The sequence below is a fragment of the Homo sapiens genome, chromosome 7, assembly GCF_000001405.40.
Source record: "Homo sapiens chromosome 7, GRCh38.p14 Primary Assembly".
NCBI lineage: Eukaryota > Metazoa > Chordata > Mammalia > Primates > Hominidae > Homo > Homo sapiens.
In genome coordinates, this window is record NC_000007.14 from 106279147 (window position 1) to 106294249 (window position 15103).

A 15103-nucleotide genomic window follows, 5' to 3' on the forward strand; every position below is an offset into this window, starting at 1 on the left:
TAATTATAGTACTTTAAAAACCTACCTTTACTTAGAATGCCTTCTCTGAAAACAAATACCATTTAAAATACAAAAATGTCTGAACTGCTTAATTAGAAACGAAGTATGAACTCTAAAAATCTTTGGAGAACCTTAAGAGTATCGTTTTAGAATATAGCTAACGCATCTAAGTTATCTAGGCAAACTCGCAGGTAATTAGCCAAGAAACACCATTTATTAACTATCTACTAACACCCAACAAGTTTACAGAAGAATACAGAGCATGTTTAGGTCTACTTATAGGGGTATATGTACATGTTGTTTAATGGGAAAATGTTTTTAAAGCAGAGCTTTTTAAGAAAGTATTTCTAACAATGTAGTCAAAAGGATTTATAATGATTCTAGTTTTGCTAGCTTACTGTCCTCTTCATTTTACTTTCTACTAAACAGGCCATTTTGAACCTTCACCAGAAAATTGGATGATATAGCATAAATTCAAATCAACTGTTATTTTATAAATACTTCATTCACAAATACATACTCTGTACCTACTTCAGACACTGAGGATGAGAAAGTAAATAGAATGACATGGTCTCTATTTTCAAAGGACTAATAAGGGCTGAAGAAGGAAGAAAAAAAATATATTAATTTCAGATCAAGATAGATGCTATGAAAATGTAAGAGAATGATGGGCTAGAGGGGGCCAGGAAGACTTCTTTGAGAAGGTGACATGTGAGCAAGACCTAAATGACAAGGAGACAGGAAATGCTTTGGCATAAGGGACAGAACAGAAGGCAGGCCAATGTGGTAGGTACTTAAAAGTATGGGGGCGGGGTGGGGACAGTAAGAACACGATAAGGTCAGAGGTAGGCAGAAATGAGATCATGTAAGGCTTACAGACTACCCCAAGGAGCCTGGATTTTATACCAAGTGCAATGGGAAGCCATTATGTTTTAAGCTGGGGTGAATATGACATGATTCACCTTTTAAAAGGATTAGCCTAGTGGTGGATAAGAATGGATTATAGGGTGACCAAAGAGTGCAGGAGTTAGGGGCTATTAGGTTAGATGGGAGAATTTGCCCAGTGTTTTTGGAGGTAAAGGGGAACTACGCCGATAAATTGGATGTGGAAGATGATAATGAGGGAGAAGAATTAATACCTCCCACATTTTTGGTTGAGCAACTGCATTAATAAGAGTGCCATTTATAGAGATGGGGAAGGCTATCAAATGGTAGGGAAATGAAGTGCTCAATTTTAAATGTTAAGTAACGCTAACAAAAAGTTTCATAGTATTCTAAAGTTAACACAGAAAGCTCTTAAATCATGTTAACTTTTTTAGCACTGACTTGACTTCTATTACTAAAGAAAATGGTTCTACAATAAATACAAAATTATTCCGTAGATGTAAACCAAACAAAATACCTAATAAGATCCCAGCAAACCTTCCCAGTGAAAATGCTTCCTAAACTGGCATGGCCCTCCTGCTGTTAAAAGAACACCATCTGAACATCAATACATATGTGGTAAAGAACTGGCCGGGCACGGTGGCTCATGCCTGTAATCCCAGCACTTTGGGAGGCCAAGACGGGTGGATCACGAGGTCGGGAGATGGAGACCATCCTGGCTAACATGGTGAAACCCCGTCTCTACTAAAAATACAAAAAACTAGCCGGGCGTGGTGGCACGCGCCTGTAGTCCCAGCTACTCAGGAGACTGAGGCAAGAGAATCGCTTGAACCTGGGAGGTGGAGGTTGCCGTGAGCTGAGATCGTGCCACTGCACTCCAGCCTGGGCAACAGAGCAACACTCCGTCTCAAAAAAAAAACAAACATAAGCACAAACAGAAAAATGTAGTTCTTTTAACATAACTCTTCAGTTGTGTGATTAATTTACTTCATGAAAGGATAAACTTCTAAAAATTATTACATACTAGATAACAGTAACTGGTATTATTTTAATGCCTAGAACAAAAACGGTCTAGCCCTAAGTCAAATGATGGACAGCTGTTTCCATTAAGGAGTGCTGGCCAACCAACTGTAACAAAAAATTAGATTCCCAAGGCTAAATATCCTTGTTCCAAGTATGACAGTTTTTTTAAAAAAGTATGAGATATGACACATATATTTCAGTTGAACAGAATCCTTTTGGGAAAAGAAAGCCTAGTTTTCTCTAGATGCTTCTCTAGATGTCCCATAGGGCTGATTTGATGTCTTAGGGTTGATTTGAAGATCTTTCCTCCCACAATGGGATCACATGACCAAATGCAAGTACTACTATCTTACTTTTTCAGTTATACTTTTTAACTGCTAAAAAATCACAAGTCAACATTTAAAAAATAAGCTGTATATGTAAGATCACATGGGATAACATACCCAAGGTCACAGGGCAAGTTATGTTAGCTATATAATATCTAAGGGCAATCAGAAGAGGATACACTCTGCCCAACACTGGCTAAGACTTTCTGCTGCTTCAAAGCTAATGTGCTAGAAACAGCAAAAACCATAACCGATTCTTCTTTTCAGTATTATTTAAGATTTCTTAAACCCTGGAAATCTGTCTGTTGCCCCCAAAAATAATTCACTGCTATTTGGCTTTGAAGCAATACTCACTCATAAACATGACTTAAGGATTTTGGGTTATTTGGGGAAGGAGAGAAATTGCAAAATCACCTATAATCATATTGCCTCTTCCCTTAAAACCTCTTGCATGGAGTTTCTAATGACTTGTATCTCTTTTGCCACACCTTTAAACCAGATTTCATTAACTCACAACGAGAACACCAGCTCAATTATTAATGACCTAAATTAATCTCCCTATGAAGTATATTCATGATTTATATATTTTATTTATGGTGCTCAAGTTTTTCCTATATAACAAAACATAATGGAAAAATTGAAATATATGTACAATGTCACATATATCTTTATGAATGCATAGGCAGTCTCTGGGGTACAAGCTGCAACAGTACCCCACTCATGAGGCTCAGGTTGACTCAGGAGCCACCGTGACAATACCGAAGCATCCGCTCAGAAGCAGTGAAAGACAAGCAACAAAAATTTGTTACTTGGCCATTAGAGGAAGCAAAATTTTCTTTTTTTTTGAAAAAAAGCTGCCTTGAATTCCTAATCACCATATATAAATTTCACAGCTCTTTGAAACTTCTATAAAATCAACTTCTGTCCCTCCTGGATTTCAAAATACTACTTATCTTTGTCTTCTTTTATAATACCCAATAGGTCACCAACATTTATTAAATGAATGGTTAAAAATATGCTGAATTCTAGATAACCAGCTTACAGATGACCCTTTGAGAAGCAACCTACACCGGACAGCACATTTCATAACTAATGGATAATGCGGTTTAAACGGTGTCCTTACTTCTAACAAGAACCACGATGAAAATAGAGGAACCACAGTCGTCAGTGTCCTTAATTCCTTACTATATACAATAAAGTATGAGTTTACAGAAGTGAATGTATATACTTCAAATGCTCCTTTGGTCCAAATAGTTCTGGACTCTCTTGACAGGATACAAGACAAAACAAAACTCCCATTGTCATGTGCTTGCTACCATACCATCTACTTGCAAAATAACTTTCGTAGTGCTTAGGCAATCAATTATTCTTTCTTCAGTTTTAGAAAGAAGAAATCAACAATATTTTGCTCTCTTCATCAACACATCTGAAACTACTAGAGTTCCCAACTTTGGCCAATAGTTTGTAAGCACTGATAAGGATATGTAACATTCTCGTGTAATTTCTAAATAAGTTTCATTACTTCTAACCTCAAGATTATCATTTTTGTCCTTTTTCCTAAGATAAAAAGACAAAAATGTAAAATAGGTTATAAGGACCCCTAAAAACATAAGGGAAATGAAACCTAAGACTTAAATGTGACTGTGGAATACACAATCTATTTTAGCATACTGCGGTAAGCCACTGGTATAAAACATATCGACTTGATTGAACCCTCTAGAGGTGACTTTTGGGGAAAAAATGAAAAATCTAAGATGAAAATATTCTGAAGTTTCATATTATAAAGGATATAAAACACACCAGTCTGACTTGAAAGTTGACAGAAGTAAAATTTATTAAATAGGTGCAAATTCTAATAGTGCAATTAAGTATGGCTCACTAGATTAGAAACCTTTAAGATAATTCACTATTCTAACTAAAAGCACCCCAGAAAACTGATGTTAAAGTAATTTTACATTCCTTATGTATAATGGTTAGAGGAACTGCAAACTAAAGGAAGTTGCATTCTTCTGTTTTTAAAATTTAGACTATTCAACCTCCCTTTACATTTGGCTAACATGTAAAAAAAAAATCTGACAGTTATTTTAGATTTAGTTAAGAAAAAAATTCTACAAAACTATCAATGAGGCTATTCTAAAATCACTATTTAAAATTTTGAAAACACTATGATTGAACCAAGAGAACACAAGAGGAGGTTTTAGGACCAAGTAAAGGACCATACTTGAGGTATTATCACGTATACTTGACAATATTCAAGAATCATACTTGATAGTGTTCGGATTTTGCAATACTTTAAACTTGCATCTAAAAGACAACTTGTTGATGGATCTTGGCTCGATTTCAAGAACCTATCTAAATATCATAAACAGCATTTTAAGCTGATTGGAAAAAAACAGACAAAACTTAAGTAAAATGGAATTCTCTAAAATACTTTCTCGGAATATCGGAGGAGGGCTAAAAACAAAGGAAAAAAAAAGAATCAAAACAAAAACATGAGAGTACTATGTTTTACCACTGTATTCCAAACCACTATGCTGCTCAAGTAAAATTTACTTTACCTCTTCCCTTCACTACTGCGTGCTTCATATCAACTGAATGTGGCAGCTACCCACACAAGTGTTCAATGGGCATGTGAACGCAACGCTGTGCCATTTCCCTCTCCACATGTTCTCTAGGGTTAAAACTACAGTTCCTTTAAATCCTCGTGTTTCATTTTCCTTTTCACAGAAATCCTGTAATGACCCTAAAGCAGATAAGAGCAGAGCGGCCTCTACACCCAGGGATAAGGAGCACGAGCAATCACTAGGTGCCAAGGAGTTTGAAACGGAGCCCGGCGGAGTGGGACAGGGGAATCCACTACGGCTACCGGGGCCAGGCGAGTGTCCTCCGCGCCGGAGCCGCAGAGGACCGCGGCTGCTCCGGCGCCCGCGCCAGGACTTCTCCCACCTCGCGCCCCGGGAGACTTACCTGCCCAGCCAGGGGCGAGCGCGCCGGGCTGGCCCGGGGGAAAGCCCCGCTCACTCTCCACTGCGGGTCCCCGGGGCCGTTACCTAACTGGTCCCAGCTCCAGGCCAAGAGGCCGCGCTTCAGGGAAGGGCATGCGCTCGCCGGCGACGCCCAAGCCCCGAGCCCCGAGCCCCGAGCACCGGCGCCCGGGAGTCCGCTGGGGCCCGCCTCAGCCCCCCGCCGCGCCGCCGCCGCCGCGCGCCCCCAGGCCCCGCCTCCACCGCCCAGCCCTCCATCCTCCTCAAGCCACCTCCTGCCCACTGCGGCGCCTCCTCACCTGCCCCAGCCGCCGCCGCCCGCGCCTCCCCCGGGCCTCCCCGCGCCGCGACCCTAGCCCCAGCCCCAGCCCCAACCCCAGCCCCAGCCGCCCCCGCCCCCCTGCCGCGCGCTCGTCCCCAGCGCGCCCCGCTCCTCCTCATCTGCCCGGGCCCCGAGCTTTACCTTGTAGGAGTCGGTGGCCAGGAGGATGTTGAACTCGGCTTCTGCCGCAGGATTCATCTCGGGCCGGAGGACAGGGGCCGCGCGCCGCGAGCTCCCTGGCGCGGCTGCGAGGAAGGAGAAAAATGAGCTTCACCGCGCTCCGTTGCTTAAGTCACTGCTCGGTCGGCGGAGGAGGGGGAGAGGGGGAAACGGAGAGAGGGGAGGGGTCAGAGGAGGGCGGGCCCGGGAGCCGTGACGCGGCGCGGGTGACGGCTGCGGCGGCTCGCGTGCTCGCAGTCTGGGAGCTCTGGCGGACTCCCCACCTCGGTTCCCCCGCCTTCACCCCGTCACCCTCCGGGGGCCGAGAAAGGGCGGGGCGCGGCAGCGCGCTGCGCAGTGCGCGGAGGCGGGGCGGGGAGGAGGACGTGATGCACGCGCTCTTCCTCCCAGACGCCAGCTCTGGGAAGCTGGAGGCAGCGGGGCAGCCCCGGCGCGTGACCCGGGCGCTTACCTAAGTTCGAGTTCCCGGCACGGGCGCGGGAGGGCGGGGCCTGGAGGGGGCGTTCCCAGCTTTGCCAGTGCCACGAGGAGCCGGTTCGCCCGCCCCGCCTGGGACCTTCCGTCCTACCCAGTCCTGGCCGGTTTTCTGGGTCCTCCTGAAGTCACGCCACCCGGCTAGGGGGCGAGGAGCCTCCTACTGCCCATCTTCCCGTCCACCACGCGCAGTTACTCACCTTTGTCTCCGGCCTGGATTAAGGATCCAGCCTTTCGCCTCCATCCCTCTTGTCCCTCCTGATCCTCCTGACCCTGTCTTTAAGATCCCAGGAGCTGCGGTGAGGAGTGAGGCTGAGGGGCCCCTTTCATCTGATGCAGCGACTCCGCTTTCCTCCGGCGGCTCTGTCTATGGCTGAGCTCTTTGATCCTTTGAGAGATGGTTTGACTTTTCCCGAGCAAAGAGCCTGCGTTGAAAAGCGGGGGTGGAATTCAGTCCTCACAGATAATGAGGGGACAAGACCTAATTGAACCGAGTATTGCCGGGAAGGAAAAGGCAACGGGCCAAGCCTTTGACAGGGTGCGACACTGACTTTTATCATCGTTATAGTCTTTAAATCCTGGGAAACGAGTTGGCAACCCCAAAATAAAGAAGTGTAATGACGTCTGATGACTTCACCCAAATACAGACCATTCCAAGAAAGACTTGCGCAGTTCTCATGCGTGGTTGCGTTTTTGCATAAAACTAAGATTCCCTTTGTCCGCATGTTTAATAGCTTAAAAATAAATTGAGGTTTTTATCGGATAAAAGTAGCCAGGAAAAAGTGATACAGTGAAAACGATTACAGGATATTTATAGACTTGTCTTTCAAGTTATTAGAAGTCTCATTCTATCTGGGGGCAGTGATGGTGGTGGTGGTAGTGGAACTTGTGAATTGAGATTCATAGTGGAACTTGTGAATTGAGATTCATCTCGAAACTGGAGGCATGGCTGAGACTTCTAATAAAGACAACCTCAGTCAACACTATGTCTTGAAGTCAGTATATATTTTTGACAATCACCTCATCTACACGTAGATACAATACAGGGCAAAGATCATGGAAGTGGAAGGTATCACCAGGCACTCACCAATGTAGTAAATACTAGTACACTTACAATTATTTTCAGCAACGAGGTTTGAAACAAGAGGGCTTATGTATTTATTGGTTGATCTTCCCTGTGTTTTACCGGGGAAAATTATTTGTAAACGCATTTAAACAAATTATTATTTCTATTTTGAGACGGAGTCTCGCTCTGTCGCCCAGGCTGGAGTGCAGTGGCTGGATCTCGGCTCACTGCAAGCTCCGCCTCCCTGGTTCACGCCATCCTCCTGCCTCAGTCTCCCAAGCAGCTGGGACTACAGGCGCCCGCCACCACGCCCGGCTAATTTTTTGTATTTTTAGTAGAGATGGGGTTTCACCGTCTTAGCCAGGATGGTCTCGATCTCCTGACCTCGTGATCCTCCCGCCTCGGCCTCCCAAAGTGCTGGGATTACAGACGTGAGCCACCGCGCCCGGCCTAAACAAATTATTTTTTAATATTTGATTTTGGGAGTTTTTTTATATTATTTCAAGGAGTGCAATTCAAAGAAGGAAAAAGATAATTTTTGTCCTTAATTTGGTGTTTTTTCCTTCATTTAAAATTTATATAACCTACTTTACTTATAGTACAAATTCTTATTTGTTTAGCTTCCTGGAATTCATGTATCTATAAATGACCGTTGTTCTATGCTGCTTTATGCAGAAAAGAAAGTAGGATTCTGATTATAATGTGGGCTTTGTTTATGGTAGTATTTTTTTAAGATGCAAAATTTGATCTTGCAATCTTTGAGTTGAATTTGCAGTTTTAAAATAAAAAGGTCTTATATCTGTGCAAAGAAAAAATATTGTATTGACATTGCTTGTTAAATTAAGGAGTGAGGCCTGCACAAGTATTAGTAATGTGAATCCTCACAGTAGTCTCCAGAGAAAAAAAATGACAATGAAGTCATGTTACCAATAGGACAATCACCATTTGCCTGAGATAGAAATAGGCACATTCTCTATGTAACTACATGCTTAAGCTGGAGCAATTCAGAATTAATTGGGGTTTAGAACTATGAAATTATCACTGAAAACAGAGCCAAGATTTCATTTTAAAATGGCCTCCCCTGAAAGACAGTTTAACAGCTAGCATTAAGGTTGGACGTGGTGGCTCACACCTGTAATCCCAGCACTTTGGGAGGCTGAGGCGGGCTGATCACTTGAGCCCAGGATTTTGAGACCAGCCTGGGCAACATGGTGAAAACCCATCTCTACAAAAAATACAAAAATTAGCTGGACGTGGTGGCATGTGCCTGTAGTCCCAGCTTCTCTGAAAGGAGACTGACGTGGGAGGATTGCCTGAGCCCGGGGAGGTTGTAGCATGTAGAGGACCTGAGAAACTGTTTTTCATAGGTCACAACAACATGACAAATAATAACACATAGACTCAAATGGGCCCCCTCACTTGATTCAAAGCCCTGGATTATTATACCATCCTACCAAATAGCAATCAGGCACTGCCAATTGGGCATGCAGCTCCTTGTCTCCCTCCCTCAGAGTGCTATGAAAGACCTAGGGCTCATATATTTGTTCAGGCAAAGTGAGTGTATCTGTGCCACTCCTGTTGCCACACACCCTTGCAGACAGCCTCGGGTGCACCTTTATATTTCAAAGTTGCCTCAGATACTCCAATCTGACCTGATTTGACCTCAGTAAAAAACACTGGTGAAGTAGGTATGGAACTCACCTACCTGCAACCCCTGACGATGGTCTTATCCATCTCCCTTTATAATCTCCTCTAGACTCGCCAATTAGCAACAGTTGTCACAAAGACAAATGTGAAAAAGAGAGCTTTTAAAAATTAAACTTGGACTTTTTTTCTTATTCAAACTTCCAAGGCCCTTTGGGAACCTCCCAGAGTTTTAATTTCCTAGGGAAAGGCCTCATCCACAGAAAGACACGGTCTTCACAGATTCAATGATTTATCAGTGTTACACTCTGTAATGACTCAGTCGGCTAAGCCTGTACAATCACACAAAGAGAGGCACAGGAAACTATGGAGTCCTCGTCTAAATGTACAAAAATGATAGAGCAACTGTCATCCACACACAGTAAGAATGAGTGCACATATATAGACTATCCACAGACATTCCATTGCAAAATGTAATTATGCCCTTTCTATGGTGTCTTTGTGGTCTGACTGTGCTGCACTCTCCTAACCGGCAATGCTGAGTCGATCATCTATCTGACTTGAAACTGTCTTCAAATTTCACACAGGACGTCTATCGCAATCTATGTTTGCTGCATGGCAAGTCTCGATTTTCCCGTCTCTATTAGTTGTGTTTTTGTTTTCCATTATATTCAAGCATACATTTTTCTAATTCCAACCAAATTCAATGGGAAATAAAGATAAACAAAAATAAAAGGTTTAAATTCACCTTTAAAAGTAAGGTAAACATGCACATTATGATGCCACATGTGGGGATTCCAATGTCATCATTACTTACAAATTTTGCTAATGGCCCAAATTTAAGAGTTGCTAGCCCATATCAATGACTGAGAGAATAAGACCGTTTGAAGTATATAGGAATGTCAAGAGCTTTGAAATCAGTGTTTTCCTAAGTGAGGTCTGCTTATCATTGATGTACATGAAATAACTATCAATGGTACTAAGATACATGTTTTTGTCTTTAATAATTATGTACTTATCTTAAATGAGTTTTGTTTTGTTTGTTTTTTGAGATGGAGTCTCGCTCTATCACCCAGGCTGGAGTGCTGTGGTCCGATCTCAGCTCACTGCAACCTCTACTTCTCAGGTTCAAGTGATTCTCGTGCCTCAGTCTCTTGAGTAGCTGGGACTACAGGCATGTACCACTATGCTTGGCTAACTTTTATATTTTTAGTAGAGAAGGGGTTTCACCATGCTGGCCAGGCTGGTCTTGAACTCTTGACCTCAAGTGATCTGCCCACCTTGGCCTCCCAAAATGCTAGGATTACAGGCATAAGCCACTGCCTTTGGCCTCTAATGAGTATTTAAAAATGTAACTAGCACATAAAACCTGATTTTTTGTGGGAGGGGTATTATTACTTAGGATGAAGCTGAAGGAGGTGGGCACTCAGACTGGTGAACTTTCTATTTCTTTTTCTTACCTTTCCCTAACCTATATGCTGTTTTCACATCCTCCATATAAGACTGGTTTTCTTGAGGAAGCTGAACATGAAAGGCTATATGTCTGATTCCATTTATTTGAAATTCTGGAAAGGGCAAAGTTATAATGAAAGAGAGCAGATCAGTGGTTGTCAGAGACTGGGATTATGAGAAGCAGAATGACTGCAAGCAGGTCTGAGGAAACTTCTTGGGGTGATGAGAATGATATATGTGGTTATACGACTGTATACATTTGTCAAAATTCACTGAATTCTAAGCTTAAAGTTGGTGAATAGCATATAAATTAGATCTTAATAAAACTGAACTAAAAAAGACTGATTTTCTTGTAATCATTTTAAATATTTTCCCCTCTTCTCCCATTTTGTTTCCTCTGTTTCCATTCTTACCTTGTGTTGTTACCATGTTGCTTTACGTGATAGGGGATGAGCACCATTTTTGCCCTCCTCCAAGGAAGGACAGTTCTTGAAGTTGCTGAATGTTTTCAGATGCCAAAAGGAGTCTGAAAAATCCTGCTATTGAGTAGGAAGCAGAAAAGGGAACAATCTCAATGTGACTCAATTCAGGAGGAATGTATGAACACCTAGTATACAGACAGTACCATACAAAGAAGCACTGGAGGACTTTAAAAAGAAATGTTATCTTTTTCTCAGCTCTTTTTTCCAAGCAAGTGTGAAATGACTGGGGTCTGGATTGGGGAGGGGGAGACACAACAGGATAGGTAGTTAATTCATTATTCCCAGGAAACTCAGCATTCGAGTCAATTAATATAAAGCTGCACATGGACATAACCCTTGACTACAGGGACAGTGTCTCAGGAACAATTAAGACCTGAATAATCATAAACCAGTCCCCACCCAGCTTCCACACCCTGGACTCTTCTAGATCAAGAACTGCCCCACCTGTGAAACCTTGAACTGCAGCAATGCATTTCTTGATCAGTTCGTCCTGCCTTTCTAGGTCACTCACTCCCCTCCCAATACACCTAATCTTAGCTCCCAAGACCTTTGTCTCTTGCTCAGCATTTGCCCACATGACTTTCCTTCCTTTCTTATTACCTAGCCCGACCGTATTACTTCGTATTGTCAACATCATCTCTGGCTCCTGTGTCTCCTAGCCCTCCGGTCCCCCAGATCCTTACCTTTTTTGCTCTTAGAGTATCCAGGAGACTGAGCACTGACAGGGAACATAGCCATGAGGTTGCCAACCATAGTGACACATGTAATGCTGACAGGCAATCCATTTATTTCCCCCATTCAGCTTTCCTTCTCTTTTTGTTTAGTGGTGATTTGAAATATTTACCTCTCTCCTCAAACTCCTTACCTTCAAACAACTTTCTCTTGGCAGATGATGTAGTCCCCTATGCCAGTAAGAAAAACCAAGGCCATCAGGTGGAAATTCTCTAAATTGTAATATCTACAAGACCAAAGGTCTGTCTTATTTAGAGGTCTATGAGAAAAGTGTAGCACCAGGTGCAAAGTAGGGGCTTACTCAATATTTATTGAGTGAATGAAGGAGCAACTTTTTCACCGGCAAAAGCAGGATGGCCCAGTAGTAGATTATATTTTTTGCCCAAAGTCAAAGCCCCTGTCTACTGGGTTGTTCTCCATATTCACAGCCCCTCTCTATGTCCCTGTTCTTGTGAACTCAGACATGATCGTGGGAGTTGCTTCGGCCATGAAATGTGTACCGAGATGGTGTGTTTCCCTTCCCAGCAGCAGCTTTAAGAGCTTGTGCATGGTTTGGCATTCTCTCTTTTCCTTCTGCCACCGAGACTGCAGTATTCCAGATATGAGCCAATCCTCTCACTTAAATCCTGAAATGTGGACAACATGGAATCAAGTCAGAGCCAACTGGTTCCGGACACGGGTATGAAAGAGAAATAAATCTTTTCTGTTGTAAGCCACAGAGATTGTGGGATTGTTGCCACAGTATGACCTGGTTAACCTTGACAGGTACAGGGCTCCACACACACTGTTTTCTTTCTTCTCCTGGCTCAGGAAGCGAAATGTTCCTCCTTTTGCCCCAGGTTAATCTCCCCAACCTCCACCAGTCTCATTGGGTCCCTTCCCTCAGTTGTCACTTCTCTCTTCTGAACTTTTCAAGCACTCCCTTTCTGTTGACTTCTCCTTAGCACATAGACATATGTGAATATCTCCCATCTTAACAAAACCAAATGAATAATCAAACTCTTCTTAGACACCACTTCCTTTTCCAGTTATCCCAACTTCTCTCTATTTTTCCAAAAAAGAGGTTTCCACCTCCCATCTGTATTTTCTTTTCTTACCTATTCTGGTCTATGTGGCTGTGGCACTGACACTTTGGCCATACAAGTGAGACAGCCAGGCGAGAGGGGGTCCCTGGAGAAACTCCAACCAGCCTGCCCACTGAGGGGGAGACTTGGGAAGTTCGCACCCTTTGCAGTGGGGAGAAGCCTGGCCCCTCCTCTTCTTGAGTAGAACCTGGGATTCAAACAGCCAGGTGGGAAGCACTCTAGCCGGGATTCTGGTCTTGTGAGAGTCCCTGTTTCCCCCTTTTCTTCCTTTTCACCCAATAAAACCCTGTCTTACTCACGGTTCAAATTGTCTGAGAGCCTGAAATTTCATGGCCATGGGACAAAGAATGCCATCTTTAGCTGAACTAAGGAAAAGTCCTGCAACACAAGCTGGTTGTATTTTGCAGATATTGGCTAGTAACACCAGGAAAAAATAATAATTTGTTGTCTTTGCCTCTTCTAACCATTATTCCTCGTTTTTTTCTTCTGAAACCAGGGCAAGAGAGCATTTCCTCCAAAGGAAAGCTGAACCTATTATTACTTCACAGTAGTACAGCATGGACCTTGGCTGTAGGTTCCAGAAGAAATCACTGTTTCCTACCTCAAAATTTACACACACAACGGGGAGTCCTAGGCCTAGGCTATACACCTCTTTCTTTCCTGATGGTGAGTTTCCTATTCATCTATAACATCTGTTAATCAGAGGCTAGGGAACACTGTGTATCACATATTTGTCTGGGGTGTTAATCATATTATACTGTCCTGGGGCCACCTATCAGTCCCAAAATACTTTTCTCTATTATTCATAGAATGTCGGGGGGCTCCTCATGCAAAGAAGAATGGCTGTGGCCTTCTCTGAAATTCAGAATTTTGGAGTTAGACACATGGACTGGATTCTGCACAGATATATTACACTGTAAGTTGCATGTAAGGAAATTGATCTGCTCTTCAAATTTATTTAAACTCAGTAAGAATGAACATGGCACTATCCTAAAAACTGACAGCATGTCTGTGCATACTGTTTAATTAAAATAACCCAACATAATTAAAGCCCCTGGCTCTTGCCAAGGGTTTTTAAATGTTCTGTTCTGCTGAACTGCACCTATGATGCTATAGACACATAGTCATCATTCTAGATTTTCTTTTGTTTCCCCCGGTCATACCAACTTTGTGGAATAACCAACAATTTGTGAAACAAACACAATGGTTTAGGACGTAAAGTCCTCTCTTTCCCTTCCAAATTATCCCAGCCCCTCTGATACGGTTTGGATTTGTGTCTCTGCCCAAATTTCATGTTGAATTGTAATCCCCAGTGTTGGAGGAGGGGCCTGGTGGGAGGTGACTGGATCATGGGGGCAGATTTTCCCCTTGCTGTTCTCGTGATAGTGAGTGAATTCTCAAAGATCTGGTTGTTTAAAAGCTTGCAGCACCTCCCCTCTTCTCTCTCCCTCCTGCTCCAGCCACATAAGACCTGCCTACTTCCCCTTTGATTTCTGCCACGATGCTAAGACTCCTGAGGCCTCCACAGCCGTGCTTCCTGTACAACCTGCAGAACCATGAGCCAATTAAACCTTTTATTTATAAATCATCAGTCTCAGGTAGTTCTTTATAGCAGTGTGAGAATGGACTAATACACCTTCCCTTCTCACTGTCTCTAAGACAGGAGTTCCCAGTCCCTGAGCTGTGGATTGGCACCTGTCAGTGGTCTGTTAGGGACCCTGTGGTGGGTGCACAGCAGGAGGCGAGCAGTGGGCAAGCAAGCACTACTGTCTGAGCTCCGCCTCCTGTCAGATCAACTGCGTTAGATTCACATAGGAGCATGACCCCTATTGTGAACTGTGCATGCAAGGGGTCTAGGATGCATGCTTCTTATGAGAATCTAATGCCTGATGATCTGAGGTAGAACAGTTTCATCCTGAAACCATCCAACCCTCCACCCCCGCCCCACCCTGCCCACTGTGGAAAAATTGCCTTCCACAAAACCAGTCCTTCATGCCAAAAAGGTTGGGGGCTGCTTCTCTGAGACTTATTTCAATGCATTGATCACTTTTGGATTTTGGGGTCATTCTCATTGCTCTTTATTCTGATGCAGGGTGGCCTCTTCTAGCCTGACTGCCATCCTTCTGCAGCCACATTTCCTACAGCTGTGCTCATCTGGTAGTTTCATGCTTTGTAAATTGTACTGCTGAATAAGGCTCTTAGTCCATCAGTGACTGTCACTCTTAAACACATTTCAAAAGTATTCTGGCTTTCATGGTTCTCTCACCTCAGATACCCTTAGGACAACTTTCCAAGAGTTTACCTAGAGGATATTTGAATGGTACCATCCTGTTTTAATAAAAAGGTCCCTCCTCACTTTTCTGTTAGGATGCTTTTGGTTGTAACACAATAGCACATTAAAGGTGGCTTAAGGAATAGAGAGCTAATTTCCTCCACAACAGGAAGTCT

General features: G+C 43.3%; 1 protein-coding gene and 1 long non-coding RNA gene across 4 annotated transcripts in view, besides 2 other annotated features; one reads left to right on the forward strand and one right to left on the reverse strand.

The window, feature by feature from the left end:
* The window catches only part of NAMPT (nicotinamide phosphoribosyltransferase), a 37591-nt gene extending 30849 nt beyond the window's left edge, over positions 1-6742 (reverse strand). For 2 of the 3 annotated variants that reach the window (NM_005746.3, XM_047419700.1), the window contains exon 1: positions 5682-5837. In NM_005746.3, the coding sequence (NP_005737.1) occupies positions 5682-5738 (57 nt within the window). In that variant the 5' untranslated portion in view covers positions 5739-5837. Of the gene's footprint in view, positions 1-5681; positions 5838-6394 lie in introns of those variants that run through there. The other variant, XM_047419699.1, reaches the window with a different exon arrangement.
* Positions 5167-5526: a silencer, noted in NCBI's record as "silent region_18532". NCBI's record gives its function as "represses an Ori minimal core promoter by ATAC-STARR-seq in GM12878 lymphoblastoid cells {active_cell/tissue: GM12878}" and the evidence as "EXISTENCE:reporter gene assay evidence [ECO:0000049][PMID:35858748]".
* Positions 5797-6336: a silencer, noted in NCBI's record as "silent region_18533". NCBI's record gives its function as "represses an Ori minimal core promoter by ATAC-STARR-seq in GM12878 lymphoblastoid cells {active_cell/tissue: GM12878}" and the evidence as "EXISTENCE:reporter gene assay evidence [ECO:0000049][PMID:35858748]".
* NAMPT-AS1 (NAMPT antisense RNA 1) lies at positions 6100-7180 on the forward strand. Its single transcript, NR_186647.1, has one exon. It is a non-coding gene; the product is annotated as an NAMPT antisense RNA 1 (long non-coding RNA).
* Positions 7181-15103: the final 7923 nt, after the last annotated feature.